The 15,212-nt window shown below is 37.0% G+C and overlaps 2 long non-coding RNA genes across 2 annotated transcripts in view; one reads left to right on the top strand and one right to left on the bottom strand.

The window, feature by feature from the left end:
• The window catches only part of LINC01414 (long intergenic non-protein coding RNA 1414), a 511,616-nt gene that overhangs the window by 7,286 nt on the left and 489,118 nt on the right, over positions 1-15,212 (top strand). The window lies entirely within an intron of this gene.
• On the bottom strand, positions 5,091-6,756 carry LOC105375877 (uncharacterized). The gene is made up of 3 exons (XR_928989.2): positions 6,591-6,756; positions 6,266-6,312; positions 5,091-5,227 (listed from the first exon to the last, which is right to left on the bottom strand). It is a non-coding gene; the product is annotated as an uncharacterized LOC105375877 (long non-coding RNA).

Here is a 15,212-nt window from a genome sequence, read left to right as displayed (position 1 = left end):
AGAAAGGAAACAATAAGGGCATAGACTCATTTTAAATCTTTCAGAAAAGTACTGTAATATTAGTGACCAAAATATGAGACCAATAATCTGAGATTTATTAAAAGCCAAACCTCTGGTGAGCCATTATAGCTCTTCGTCTTTGACTTAGTTTCTTAATCCCAAAATGGAGATAAAATTGCTTACTTGCAAAAGGATAGTGAATACTGATTAATTAATGGGTCTGAGCCTGCTGATGCATTCCGTTTTCTTAATTCATGTTTTAAGGCTACAAACACAGACATGCTTACAATATGGAAGCTGTCTGTTAATACATAATGTATCCCAATGTTTGGGTTGTTCAAATGCATACCTAGCAGACTCAGATGAGTCACAGATACATTTCCTGGAGAGCTTAATAGTGGTTTTAAACTACTCAGCTCAGAATGTAACTTTTGATAGAAAACACTGAATTTTACTGGTTTCATCTCTGAGGCTTAAGATGTGTGTGTGTGTGTGTGTGTGTGTGTGTGTGTGTGTGTGTGAACATGCTTATATACACAGTTTCTTTTGCATTTTAGGTAGAAATGTAGAGAAATATATTTAGCAAAATAAACCTCTTAATCACCATAAATCCAAACTAGTGCTTGTCTTCAGTTTCTAGTTTGTATGCAGTGCCTCAAGGCATGGTAACATCTGCCTAGGCATTAGCGGCATGATCTGCTTAACCTAAATTTAAGGAATTGTTTCAGGTTTTTGGGAATTAATTTGTCATGATAGTGTCATCTGCACAAGAATGTAAGTTAGATCATGTGTGGCCTTCCAGAGCGGATGGGCCTCACATGTATGTGCTATCATGGAAAAGGTGCAGGGCCAGGAGTCAGGAGCCCCTGTTTCTAGGCCTGGCTTCACCTCTGATAAATTGAGTGAGGCAATGAAAAGTGACAGTTTCCTCAACTATAGGAAGAGTGCACTGGATTAACATTTTGTGTCCCTAGTACTATAACCCAAATCTCTAAATTTCCAGGCTCACGCTCTCCCTATTGTTTTACCCTGCCGTTTTCGAATGCTTCTGCAGGAGTCAACTCTGGGCGAACTACATGCCAGGGAGTATTGCCTGCAGAGAGCTGTGCACATATTCAATAAATGTTGCTTGAAATGCTTCATGATTAATTAGCCATCTAGAGAAATCCTGTGATCAATGTGGATGACTGAACCTTAATATTAAAATAGTTAAAATTTATTGAGTACCTCTAATGTGACAGGCACTCTATTTGCAGTTTACATATGATATCTCACTTAAGCAACCATCTAGGAAACACATCTAAATCCCCCTGGAGAGTTTTGACATTGTGGTATTATTGGCCATTCTTCTCAGGAAGTCTTTTCTGCTGGCCTTGTTTGGAGCCTCCCTTATGATGTAACTTGAAGAAACTCAATAAATGCAAATAGGTTTGCATTGGAAGAAAACAGGGTTAACTATCCACCCAAACCTCAAGCTAATGCACTGAATGTACAAATTGTATCTTAAAAAGCTATGGGCAAGATCATGTTCGTGGGAGAATCTTCTTCCTCATCATCCATGGTTCCTCCCCTTATCTGAATATTTAAATGGGCATGAAGTAGTTTTTCTTTTCTTTCTTTTTGTAATTCTGCCATGAAATACCTCAATAATGCATCTTGTCCTCCCTGTCCCTGGCATAATTGTCTTAGTTCAGACATTTATTATCTCTCTTGTGGAATGTTGTAATAGCCTCCTCAGTGGTCTTTCTTTTCATCCTTTTCTAATATTTTCTCTTTTCTTGCTGCCAGAGTGGATTTCCTAACCCTCAAGCTGATTGTGTTTAAAATTCCTCAATAGGTCCCCTTGACATCCTACAGGGAGTATTGCCTCTTTGCTACCTAGTTCCCACACAGAGGGAGCTGCCCCATTCTTTAGGTATCTGTGCACTTTGATATATACCTCTTTTAGCAAATATATTTTATGCATGTCGCTTCTATTGGTTTGTGAGCTTCACATAATATAACACCTTTGAATCATATCAGTGACGCCACATTGTTAAGGATTGCTGAAGGAATAAAGACTTTGGGAAGCCTGAGCTATTTCCTGGTTTCAAGAGAGGAAACATAAAGACTCCTTTTTCTTTCTGTAGTAGCCATCTTGGCCAACAAAAAAAGGCTAGATAGAATTTTTATTTCCAACCTTTCATTTCTTCTGGCCCAAGAATAATTCTCTGTGATGAAGGACCGATCCTATATTGTTAAATAAGTTCTGTAGCTCTGTCTTAGGAGAATTCTATTAGGTTGTTGCAAAAGTAATTGCAGTAATGGAATTCTGGGTAGTGGCATTACTTTTAATGGCAAAAACTGCAATTACTTTTGCACCAACCTAATGGCATCTCAGAGCATTGTGCCTTTGTTAACTTGTAAGCCAGTGCATACCTTTCTCTAGCTGGTATATTGAGAGCAGGATATAGCTAACCAGGTTGATAAAAACAGATTTAGAATTTCCAAGCATAGAGAATAGAGTCAAGAAAATCTAGCTTCTAAAGATGATTCCATTATCTACTAGTTGTGTGAGTTTGAGTGAACATCTTAGCCAGTGTAACCTTAATTTTCTTTTGTATACAATGGGGATAATTCCCAGGTTATAGAGCTGTTCTGAGCATTCAGTATTATGACACGTAAAGCACCTCATGTAGTGCCTGGCATTAAGTACTCTCATAATAGTAGCTATTACCATCATTATTATCATTATTAGTAGCATTTAATGCCCTGCTGCAATGAAGAGCATCACAGTTCATTACAATTGTTTTTCTAATCCATTTTCTTATTTAATTCTCATAAACCCCAACCCTATAATTATAATCTATGAAAAGGGCTTGATTTATTGTCTCAGAATTTCTGATAGGCAACTTACTTGGCTAGGTGACAGCAGGCTAGGACTCAGAGATAACTGTTTCAGGACTACTTCTCAAAGGTCTGATCCTTCTTTCTGATAGGAGGAACTAAAGTCTTAAGACCAAGGTTACCCTGAGAGTCACAGCTAACCCCCTACTCCAGAAAGAAAATGTTTCCAGGGCTGAACCTAAGCCTGGTACAAGAAGGCTGCAGTAAGTAAGGTAGAGAAAACATTCTTAGAATGACCCAGGAGAAGATAAGTGGAGGAGTGGGAAGAGAAGGAACCTCCTTGGAGGTCCTGCAGAACCTTCTCAGAACTGCAGAATAATGGCTTAGCATGAAAAACATCAAAAGATGCACTTGATTGCTTTTTCTCCTCACCCTCTATTCATCCTTCAGCAAACCCTATCAGCTTTACCTTCAAATAATTTCCTAAATCTGATCACCTTTTTCTATTTTCACCACTATTTGTCTTGGATGGAACCACCATCATTTCTCTCTTGATCTATTGCAACAGTCTTTAAATTGGTCTCCTTATTTCTACTCTTGACTCTCCTGCTCCTCCTCTACAGAGCTGACAGAGTGAGCTATTAAAATGTAAATCAAATCACATCACTCCACTGCTCAAAAATGTACAAAGGTTTCTGTCACACTCAGAATAAAATCCAGAGTCCTTGCAATGACACTCGAAGCCTTACATGATCTACCTACCACCTACCCCTTCCAGTTGCTTTCCTTCCTTTTCTTACCCACTCATCCTATTCAGCCACTCTGGCTTTCTTGTTCACAGACTTTGTATATTATGAAACTATTGCAGTTTCCCTTGTTAAATTGGTTTCTAGTAAGTTTAGAGCTAAATTTCTGGTCTATCTCTAGTAAGCTTATAATAATATATATTTTTAAAAATTACCATTGTTACTTCTGGCTCAGCTTTCCTTTTCTGCTATTACTTTCTCTCTCCTACTTTTCTTAATTAAAACTAAAATATAAACCTTATTGTCTTTTTATTGTAAGATCAATATACATGTTTATGACCATAAAATCAGAAAATATAGACAATTGAAAAGTAGAACAATATTCTTATCAAATCCCCCACCCCGCACTAAATCTTCCAGCTATTGTAAAGTTTAAACATCTTAACATGAGTTTAAAAAACTCTGGTTTCTGCTTATCTCTTGCTTAATCTCTTAACACTCCCTGTTTGCATGATTACCTTCTGTTCATTCTTCATATCCTCAGTGGAAACATTAGGAGGACTTCCCAGATATTTCATCTATGAGACCTCTAACCTCATAGCACAAGGTGAGTCCTCTAGTGCAAAGTGATGTTGTTGCCCCTATTGAAGAGCAGGGACATGTCTTTCTTATTCTTTACTATATCCATGTAATTAGTTTAGTATCTGGCCCAGAGAAACCGCTTAATGAATATTGATAAATGAGTGAATAAATGAATGGATGAAAAATTCTTGCTGGGGGAGGGTTTTTGAAAGTCTCTGTTCAAGGTTTATGTTCTATCATAAATGTTTTATGAGAGGTGTGCAGGCAGTAGGTGTAAAATATAAAACACTCTGGGCTAGGCATGGTGGCTCATGCCTGTAATCCCAGCACTTTGGGAGGCCAAGGTGGGCAGATCACCTGAGGTCAGGAGTTTGAGAACAGCCTGGCCAACATGGAAAAAACCTGTCTCTACTAAAAATACAAAAATTAGCTGGGCATGGTGGTGCGTGCCTGTAATCCCAGTTTCTCTGGAGGCTGAGGCAGGAGAATTGCTTGAACCTGGGAGGCGGAGGATGCAGTGAGCTGAGATTGCACCACTGCACTCCAGCCTGGGTAGCAGTGTGAGACTCTGTCTCCAATATATATATCACTTCAAATAGGTGCTCTTTATGGGGTAATATTATGGAAATCCTTTGTCTTGGAGTATACCCAATAAGATTTAAGATTGCCAAAGCCCTTCTTTCAGTAGGGGATCTCTTCAGTCATCTTCCCCTTAGTGCTACTGATGGGAACTATTGAGTGTGAGTTCTTGAACATAGTGGAATCAAACAAAAAGTTAGAGAACCAGAATATGACCTTTTTTCATCATTCTAATTTTATTGATTCACAGTGTTCATTTTATTGATTTATACAATCAATTGTGTTTTCTCTGTGCCCAGAGTTGGGGAGCAAGCACTTTGAGCTTACAGTAGATTTGTAGATATCTTTTCATGCTCAGTCTCTCATCAGGATGGTGGAGATGTGCTGAAATTAATCTATTATCTGAATTAATGAAATGCCTTTTATTTGGCTCTGCAATCTTTATAGAGTAGTTAAATCTTTGCTCTGGGCAGAAGTGATGGCAAGACCGCTATCTGCAGAGACACAGCAATGTGCAGGGATGGGAAAAGCAGATAGTTCCAGAAAATAGTTCATTCTAGACTTCCTAATATTTTATAAAATGTTCCTGCTCATCTCTTTATATGCGGATGGTTTTTATAAAAGCGAATAATAAAGCAGATCACATTTCATCTAATAATATACAAGGTGTTGGATTTAGAAGCCATAATGATGAAAATGACTGTCATTGTCTCTTCAGTTGGATTTGCTATGGCTACTACATACTGAATGAGCCTATCCAAGAGGTAGAGATTTGCTCTCTCTCTCTTTTTTTTTTTTTTTTACCAAAAATAGCTACCATTTATTGAGTGCTTATAATCATATAATCTTGAGCCTATAGAACAACTCAATAGTTGGATGTGTTTGCTCCCACTTTACTGAGGAGTAAATTAAGATGTAGCAATGTTAAATAACCCAAATCATAAAACTGGTGTTCCAGCTGGATTTCTTTGACTCCAAAGTCCCTGCTCCTACCACAAGAAGGCCTTAGGTAGAATGGTGGAAATGTCAATGTAGGATCTAAAGTGTTTTAAAACGTTTTCAAATAGCAGTGAGATATTTTTTCTCTAACATGCAAATTTACATTATAAATGTATGAGTGAGGCTATAATGAAGATAGAAAGTTTGCTTGGAGGTGAGGGAAGGTGCTCCAGTGAGAGGATAAAATGGGATAAAATTGTGAAAATGTTATTGACTCTTAAAGCTGTAAAAGCTTGTAAGATTAATAGAGATAGAAGTTGAAAGGAAAGAAATGAGGGTGTACTGAAGATCCCTTGAGTCCCATGGTTGACTAATAAAATAGGAGAAGACAGTAAACAAAACAGAGCATATTATAGGGGGCAGATCCTAAAACCAAGCTTGGAAACTGACCCTGGTGGAGCAGTCAAGGGAACAAGGAAACAAGACAGAGAGGCAACAAAATACACAGGTTGCTTTGATTGGTAGAGTGTGGCTCAAGTCAGAGAACATATGTCAATCAAGATTCTTAAGGAGATATGAAGGGTGATACTTACAAAGTGGTTATAGATTCTGCTCCATAAGGCATTTTTCTTCAAAGACCCTAGCAGAGAAATGGCAATAAATACTGAAGCTTGATCTAGGACTAGTTAGCGGAAGTCAGGTGCTATTGACAGGTTTTTCAACCTACTGGCAGTGACAACATTTAATCTCCAGGAAGCCTTGCTGGCCAAATAGCAGACTCCAAGACAAATTGGCTGCAATCCCTGTCCTTTTCTCAAAAAGACCACGTTGAGAAGGGAGATAGGGAAGGTAGGGAAAGAGACAGATGTGTAAGCAGATAAATTACAGATAGTATAGTGAATTATATATAATACATACATATACATAGGAGGCACTTTGGAAGTAAAATAGGAATCTTGACTAACTTTGAATAGAAATACACCAAAACCATATATGAAATTGTGTTTTGGTATAACAAGTAATGTGCTATGTAACATTAGCACAGAATAATTAATTCTTTCTGATGGCTTTAAGGAAAACTGCATTGAAGATGGAATATTTGAGAGACCTTGAAGGATGAGCTTTGTTTAAGGCAGAGTATTATTAAGTACCAAGAACAAGAATGAGAATTCTGTACCTTTGTTCCTTTGCAGAAAAGTTCTAGGAATAGAACTGTAATCTGTCCAACCAGGAAGAAGCACTCAAACTGTATACTCAATCATCTCCTTCAATTATCATTAAAATGATCTGATGTAAGCAATTGCCCAGCTCCTGTGACACTTAAGTTTATAACGATGGGTTTCCTTGTTGTAGAAGTGCATTTTGTTATGAGTATCTGTGTCTACAGACAAAGCATAGAGGAAACTCTTGGAGCTCTAACTTTTGCAGTGATTGTTGGAGAGAACTCTGTGTGTCTCTGGTAGATGAGAGGGTCAAATGTGGTGTGTGTGAATGTGTGTGTCTGCATAGGGGGAGGTATAGGAGGTAGACATGGAGCAATTCCAGGATCCTGGGAAGAGGCTGTGACTCCTTCTACCTGTCTTTGGACTTCTTTTATCAGTTTCTGTTCAGGTCTCTGTAGAAAGACTGTGCTGTCCTGGCTTTTAGCAGGGATCTGGCCTTTGCCAGATCCACCTCACCAAGAAAAGACAACATTGTATGGGAAGATAATCTGGGATATATATATATATATATATATATATATATATATATATATGAAATATAAATTTAATGTATATTAAATTTTATATATAATTATATATATCTATATAATTATAATTAGATATCTATATAATTATATATATAATTAAATATATATCTATATAATTATATATATATATAAAATTAAATGAGACAGTTGCTTCCAGAGATAAATCTTTAGCCTTCAAATTCTCTTCTGTGATCTAAGAGATAATACAGAACATTTCTAGGTGGTATACCATTGCTTTTTAACAGCTGCCCTATGGTGAAAAAGCCAGGCACAGTAAGTACCCGAAACTATAGAAATGTCAGCATGTGGTATGCTGATATATTAATTCCAATAGTATTGATTCAGAAACACATATTACATATATGCCATATGGGCCTTAAATATTTATGAAAGCTAAAAGTCATGAAAACAATTCATTAATGAAAAAGTTAAATATATATTACTGTAATTTTTTATGGACTAAATTTTAGGCATTTAATTTTTAACTTACAGATTCTTACTAAAGAGACACTTATGACTTAAAAAAGTCAATTCTTATTAGTTACTTACTCTTCAAAAAAACACTATATTAGACGCTATAAAGGAATGAAAAGGATGTCTGGAATTTGTCAGGTTCTTAACTTGTTCTTCCTAGCTTCTATTTTTACCACCCATTAAGTGGTAATTCATTATAGGATAATAATTGAAGGAAATAATAGGTAAATCTCAAGTCAGTTCACTCTTTGGCCTTTTCCAAGTGAAATGGCTTGTGGGGAAAAGCAGAGCTGGCAGGAGAGAGTAAAGCAATGATTGTAAAGAAGGTGTCTTAGAATTGGGAAAACAACACACATACTGTTTGTTTGTTTGTTTGTTTGTTTTGGCATGCCCTTTAAGCCTGGTGTGGTGCTAGAGTGATACGGCATAATTTAGTCTAAAAGTGCTGGACTAGTAACCCTGAAACCTGGCCTCTAGCTATGGCTCTGAGACTAATTGGTTGTATCTTAGTTTCCTAATTTGTAAATGAGAGACCGATTAGTTTATCCTTAAATGTGATGTTATGAAGATTATCTAGATTTTTACAGATTTCCACAGCAGACTTTATTCTATTGAGAACTGCATATCTGTATACAATCCTTGGTTTCTTCCCATATATTCCTGGCATATATGTTCAATTAATGAAGGAGCAAAATAATATGAAAGGGTTGTAGAAGCTGCCTCTATTGTGCCCTGAGAGCCTGGCACACCTATCTTGTGGATCTGGAAAGTTGTGGAATACCCTGTGCTTGAGTGCCTCTGTCCCTCTCTCCAGGCTTAATCACGATCTGTTTTTTTCCTGACACCATCAAGTTCTCTTTCTAAAAAAGACTACATCTGTTTTCCTTGCATATGTGTTGGAATAGAAAAAGATGCTGCCATGAGACTTGCCTTGTCATACGATTTATATATAAATCACCTTTTCCTATATTTTGAACACCTTCTTATCCATTTCATCATCTTCTTTCTATCCTGCATTATTCATTGACCCAGTTCTATGACACACTTTTGTCCATCTTGATAGTTTCAGCACTTAGCTTGTAGTTTGCCTTTCTTCTTTAACACCTACAAACATACATAAAAATTTTGACTTGATTTTTAGATACTGGATATTTTTTTAACCTCCCCATGTCTTCACCTTCACTTTGCTAATATATAATTATTCCTGTGGAATCTCATCCTTATCTAGAATGGTTTATCTTCTGTATCTTAAGATGTTATAATAACACCACCACCACCACCACCACCATCATCATCATCATCAAGTAGTATTATTTTCAGTGCTTTTTTCCTCATCCATTTTTATACATTGAACCTTTAACATTCTCTCACACCAAATAAACTGGTATTCTAGTTTTAATTTTAAAACTCTTTCTCCCCAGCACTATCTATTTACCTTTGAATTCTTTTGAATTCCTGCCTCCTCTGGGCCCCATGATCAGCAATTAAACTCTGACATTTTGAGAGTGCAATAATCTTGCATCTTCTTGATCTTGCAGTGGATCTGGTGTGCCAGTCCTGGCATCTAATGAAGCCTGATTGTCTGAGTTCCCAGCTCTTGTCCTGCCAGTTGTAGGAGGTCATAAAAGCATACTAATTGAGTCCTATAGAAATATATGCAATCTGTCCTTAGCTAGACCTTTCCCGTTCTCTGTGACTTTACATCACATTTGGATGCAGCAGTTCCAATTCATTTCCCTACTCCTTCTGTCCTCTGCCTTGTTCTTACTTCTTTTACACTTAACAGATAAGCTTTCCTGATTTACTGAGAACATCTGTGGCAATAATCCTGTCAACTTCTTTCTCTTCAATTCAGAAAATCTCTTGTACTTCCACCCATTATCCTCTTCACTGCTATCTCTTTTTTCCATGATTAATTCCAGCAGCTTGTGATTGATCTTATGGCCACCTGATTCCTTCTGGTATCTGTTTGTTTCTTGTGACTTTAAGTTCCCAGACCTACCACTTGTTGGTTGTGTGATTTTTGAGTAGGTTTTTGAACTTTCAGACTCTGTTTTCTCATCTGTAAAACAGGAAAATATTATCCATCTCATTTGATTTCTGAAGGATCAAATGAGATAGTGGATTCTCATATATCTTTCTAACTGCTTATTTGTGGTGACAGGTCTTAGCAATTTGAAGCAGAACTGTATTTTTCTTCCCAAATCATCAACCTTTGCCCTAACTAGGACCAGAATCACACCAAGCATCATATTCTAACTACAAAAGGTGTAAACATATTTATGACTAAAGCAATCAGGGTAGAACAGGAGATATGCTGCCATCCCAGGGAGATTTTTCCCCCAGACAACTGTGGAGCCTCATTTGCTAAGAAAGATGAGAGCAGTAAATTTTGAAAATAAAAGTGACTGGCAACTTGAGTATTAACATGACTTTTAAGAGCTCATCTGTTTGACCTACAAAATAACGGGGTTTGACTGGATGATCTCTTTTGCAGCTTCAGGAATCTGTGATTTTCTGGCCCTGAGTCTGAGCTCCTCTTATAGTACGAAATTCATAGACTGAGCTCCCATATCTCCTGAAATATAAGTGAGCGGCTCAGGGCTGGTACTATTTCATCAGACAAAGAAGAATTTCTTGTTGCAAATGATTGTACTATTAGTTTTGAGAGAAAACTCAATGATCTGCTCAATGTACAAGGAGCGGTATTGAGTGTTTCCTAGCGGATAGATAGCTGGCAGGCTTAAAATGAGTATTGATGTGTTTACGTGGAGATAAGGATACACGTTAGCTTTTCGCAGAATTCCGTTTTCAATTACTCTTGAACTAGTTTGAAAATTCATCATCTTCATGCCAAATACTTTTAGTGTGCCATGTATGCTGAGTAGCAGACCCTGACATCTCAACAGGGCTCACATAAGTATACTCAGGCAAAAATTAAATGAAATTGGGGGAGTGCAGGTCTCTGGTACTGCTCTGGTAGTCAGAATCAATAATTTTTGCCCATTAGGTGATACACCAATGTTTCTCTTTCCACTCATTCTCTTTTCTCCTCACTTTTCACTCCTTTCTGCCTACTTTTCTCTCTTCTTTTTGCCTTTTCTTCTTTCACGTGGAATGCATTGCCTTTTTGAAAAGAATGAGTAATGCCTGTATACGGTTTTCTCTAGGATTAGCTGCTTTTGCTTGTTAAAAATAGAGAATATCACAGAGCCCTAGGAGAGAGGATGGTCAGGGGAGGACGTTCAGGCCATTTCTGTAAGTTTAGGCCACATCATACTCTACGCAGATGACCTTTCTAGATGAGAAAATTCCATCACCTTTTCTGGTCTCTCTTCCAATATTGACCAACGTTCACTGTCACAAATGCTGCAGTATTGAACCTGCTGCTAAATTGTCTCAAAGCTGGCAGCAGTGAATGTGTTGACAAGTAAAGGGGAAAAATAAAGCAAAAGGAGCTATTGAGGCATGCCCCCAGAAAGGTTCAGTGTTTATAAATATGATGCTTTATAGGATAGTTGTACATGTATGCAACCTAGGATCAAATTGATCCTCTCAAAATATAATAAGCCTATAATTCACAGCTACTCCACATCCTGTGCTGGTCCCATATGTGGCCACAGCTGTGAGGTCCTCAGTGTAGTTATTTAAAATCAAAGAGTTAGTCTAAAGATAGACAATTTATTTAATAACGTTAGTAAAATTTTGGGAGACATATTTTTACCAGTTGAAATTATACTTATTTCATAGAATTTTATGGATTGTTAGATTGGAATGGGACCTCACTCCTCTATCAGATGCTTGATTATCCATTAGGATATCCAAGTGACCATCTACCCTCTATCTGGATATCTCTGGGGGATGGAGTGTACTTGTGAAGCCTCTTTCATTTGTAAAGCACTCAAGTTACTAAAAAGTTTGGTCTTGTATGAGGAGATTTAGGCATAATCTAAGTATCTATCTCTTCAGGCCTTCTTCATTCAGGATTTACAGTTTGCTTAAAATAAACCACCTCCCTCTACCCCAATAAAACAAAGCAAAGCAAAAGTCAACCTGAACATAATTTACAAATCTAAATAGATCAATGAGAAACTAATAAATTTATTTAATTATTTAGGTTTTTGTAAAAAGATGATTTGTTTAAGCAGGAACACATACAAAAAAAAGTGTACCTAATTACATTTTTTTTTCTTTGGGAAGTCCAACCTTTTATTGACTGAACTATTGATGAGCTAAGCTGTTACTCTTTTTCTCATAAGGCTTACGGTCAACCCTTAGATTTTTATTTTGTCAAAAACATGGTCTTAAATATGTATTAACTTATTTTCATTTTATAAAAGCATTTTTTTTCTATAAAATTGCCTCAAACCACAGTGCAAAAGTAAAACATTCTATTAGCTAAAAATCAAAAGTATTAGCTGAACTAAAAATGGAATCTATTAAGAATACCATATTTTAATACTATAAAATTATTCCTTTTAGTTTGTTTTTGATATGAATAACAAGCAAGTGGGAAGAAAGAAAGAGACATTCAAATAGATTGTGGAGGATTAGGGTTAAAGCTGTGGGCATGAAGTTGTGGTATGGTGAAATATATGACTTCTGACCCTTGGTTTTTCCACACACAAAAAATGGGTTGATAGTAACATCTAATATAGAGAATTGTTGAAGGGGTTAGAAACCATACATAAGAGTATTTGATAATCAATAAAGAACACTCATTTTTATGACTCATATACCTAATCACCAGGTTCATAATGAATCTATAATTGAGAAGCGTCTCAAGAAAGCTCCCAGAGGTAATGTCTAAATTGCTGCTTCATGAGTTTGGGAGAAAGCTATAGTAGAAAAATCAAAGAATCTGGAGTCTGAAAGGCTTGGTTTTGAATTCTGGGTATGCCTCTTACCAGAAGAGTGACTCTAGGCAAATTATTTATCTCTGTGCGCTTACATTTTCTTATTGTGGGTATCACATAAATAAGGTGTGTGGCAATGACCAGTGCTTAATAAGAATTAATTTTATTTTTTTCCAATAAGAGCAATCTGTTGCAGACACTCCTGCAGAGTTGAGAGTGGTTATAACCAGGAAGTCATTTTCCAGTTACTTTTAGAGACCCTGGATTCCATATTGCGAGGCAAGTTGTGAAGCTTTGGCATTATAATATGCTAACAAGGCCCCTATTGCTTTTCGAATGCATATTATTACTGTTTCATGTGGAAGAAATAAGGTATTTCTACAAACCACTGCTCAAGGAAATAGGAGAGGGCACAAGCAAATGGAAAAACATTCCATGCTCATGGGTAGGAAGAATCAATATCGTGAAAATGGCCATACTGCCCAAGGTAATTTATAGATTCAGTGCCATCTTCCCTTTTTCTTAGGGAGTTGTGGAAATTCCTAAAATATAGAAGCAGGGACCTGGAATCAGAATCTAGGTATGGTTATTAGCTCTCCTACTTAACAAGCTGTACAAATTCGGGCAAGTCACATATCTAATTTTAGTCTCAGTTTTTAAATGTATAAAGTGGGAATAATAATAATAGGTTGATTTCTTCACAGAATTGTTTTGAGATCCAAATGAGACGTTAAAGTTGCTGAAAACTGGTCTGTGCTACATATATGCGAAGTTTATCATCTTATCAAACCTGACTGAGCTGGGGTAACAACACCATTGGCATCTCCTGTTAGATTGGGATAGCCTGAAGCACTGTGCTTCTCAGTACCAGAAGGTCCTCGAGGTGTCAATGCCTGGGGATCATCTTGCTGAAGCTACTACTATGTAGATCTCCCTCTGGGCTATATGGCTTCCCAGGGAGACTGGTCCACACTGTTGATCACACCTCTAACTGTGGCCAGCCATAAGGGAGTCTAGACAATGTAAGTGACTCTGATGAAAACAATACTGTCACCAGATACTCATGGACATAAAGATGGCAGCAGTAGACACTGGAGACTACTAACTAGTGCAGGGAGAGAGAGGCAGGATTAAAAAACTAAGTATTGGATACTAAGCTCATTACCTGCTGATGAGATCATTCGTGCCCCAAATCTCAGCATCACACAATTAACCCATGTAACAAAACTGCAACATGTGCCCCTGAATCTGAAATAAAAGTTGAAATTATTTAACAAACAAAGCAAAACACTGCCACCAGGAAAAGATCTCAAAGTGTATGTTTTTCTTCAGGATCCTCATCATAGATAAGAGGTAATTCATTTATAATATCTAATAATTATAATAACAGCATGCATGTTACAGTGTGCTTTTATATACCACATTGTTTGCTCTGATCTTCATGTAAAACACCACAAGGTCCATAAGTCAACTATTATCTTTATCCCTATTTTATAGATGCTTCAAATTAGACAACTAAATTTCCCAATATCACCTAGCTAATTAGAGGTAAAGGTGGGGCTTAAATTGAGATATTCTGATTCCTGATTTATTTTTCTCCCCCACACTAACTTCTTAAGGTGTTATTGGTAATGAACCTAAGCACTGGGAAAACAAAGCTGCAGTGGGTTCAGATAATTTGAAAGTTAACCTGATATCGCTTTTGTTCAGCTATGCACACAGATAAGCAGCCAGTGACCCATGGAAACCTAGTTCTTTTTCATCGAGGTGGTCAACAGGATCTCACTCCTTTTAAAATGTTCTTTTGATTTTGAATGATTAGAGAAAAGAGAATATAAAAGTCTAAGAGGAAAAATATAAGCAAGTTCAAAAACCACTAAAGTGCTAAGAAGTTGTGAATTCAAAAAAGACATATCTGTCCATGTTTATGCATGGTCTCCTGAATGAGATAATTTAAGAGAATCAGCTATGCTTAAAACTATCTTAGGTGTGAGACGTTGACTTTTAACAGCTGTGGAGAGACACATGTGTCAACCTATTGCCGAAGCACTGGTTGTTTATAAACAGCAACAGGAAATTGTTTGCCTTCCTGTAAACTGACACAGGTTTGGGTGAGGATACAGTAAAATCTCCTTAGCATGGCAAACCTCAGGGCCCCAACATGCCTTTCCAGCCTCTTCTCCAAAGTGGCATCCACTATGAAGCCAACCACACAAAATGCCTACCAGTCCCTAGAGGAGTCAATTTAGGTGCTGGATTGATTTTCCCTTCCCCATCACCACCTTTTAATGTTAGGATATTACTTGTTGTTACCATTATTACTATTGAGATGTCAGGTTAAAGCATTTTATCAACTTTTCCCAAAGGCTAGGTCTTTTAAAAAATATGACACTGAGAGGAAAATTTCCTTTTCTCCTTTTTCTGTTCACCTGAGATCACATTTTTTTTCCTGCTATATGG

The sequence above is a fragment of the Homo sapiens genome, chromosome 8, assembly GCF_000001405.40.
Source record: "Homo sapiens chromosome 8, GRCh38.p14 Primary Assembly".
Lineage (NCBI taxonomy): Eukaryota > Metazoa > Chordata > Mammalia > Primates > Hominidae > Homo > Homo sapiens.
The sequence above is the reverse complement of the archived record's forward strand: the minus strand, read 5'-3'. Positions and strand labels throughout refer to the sequence as shown.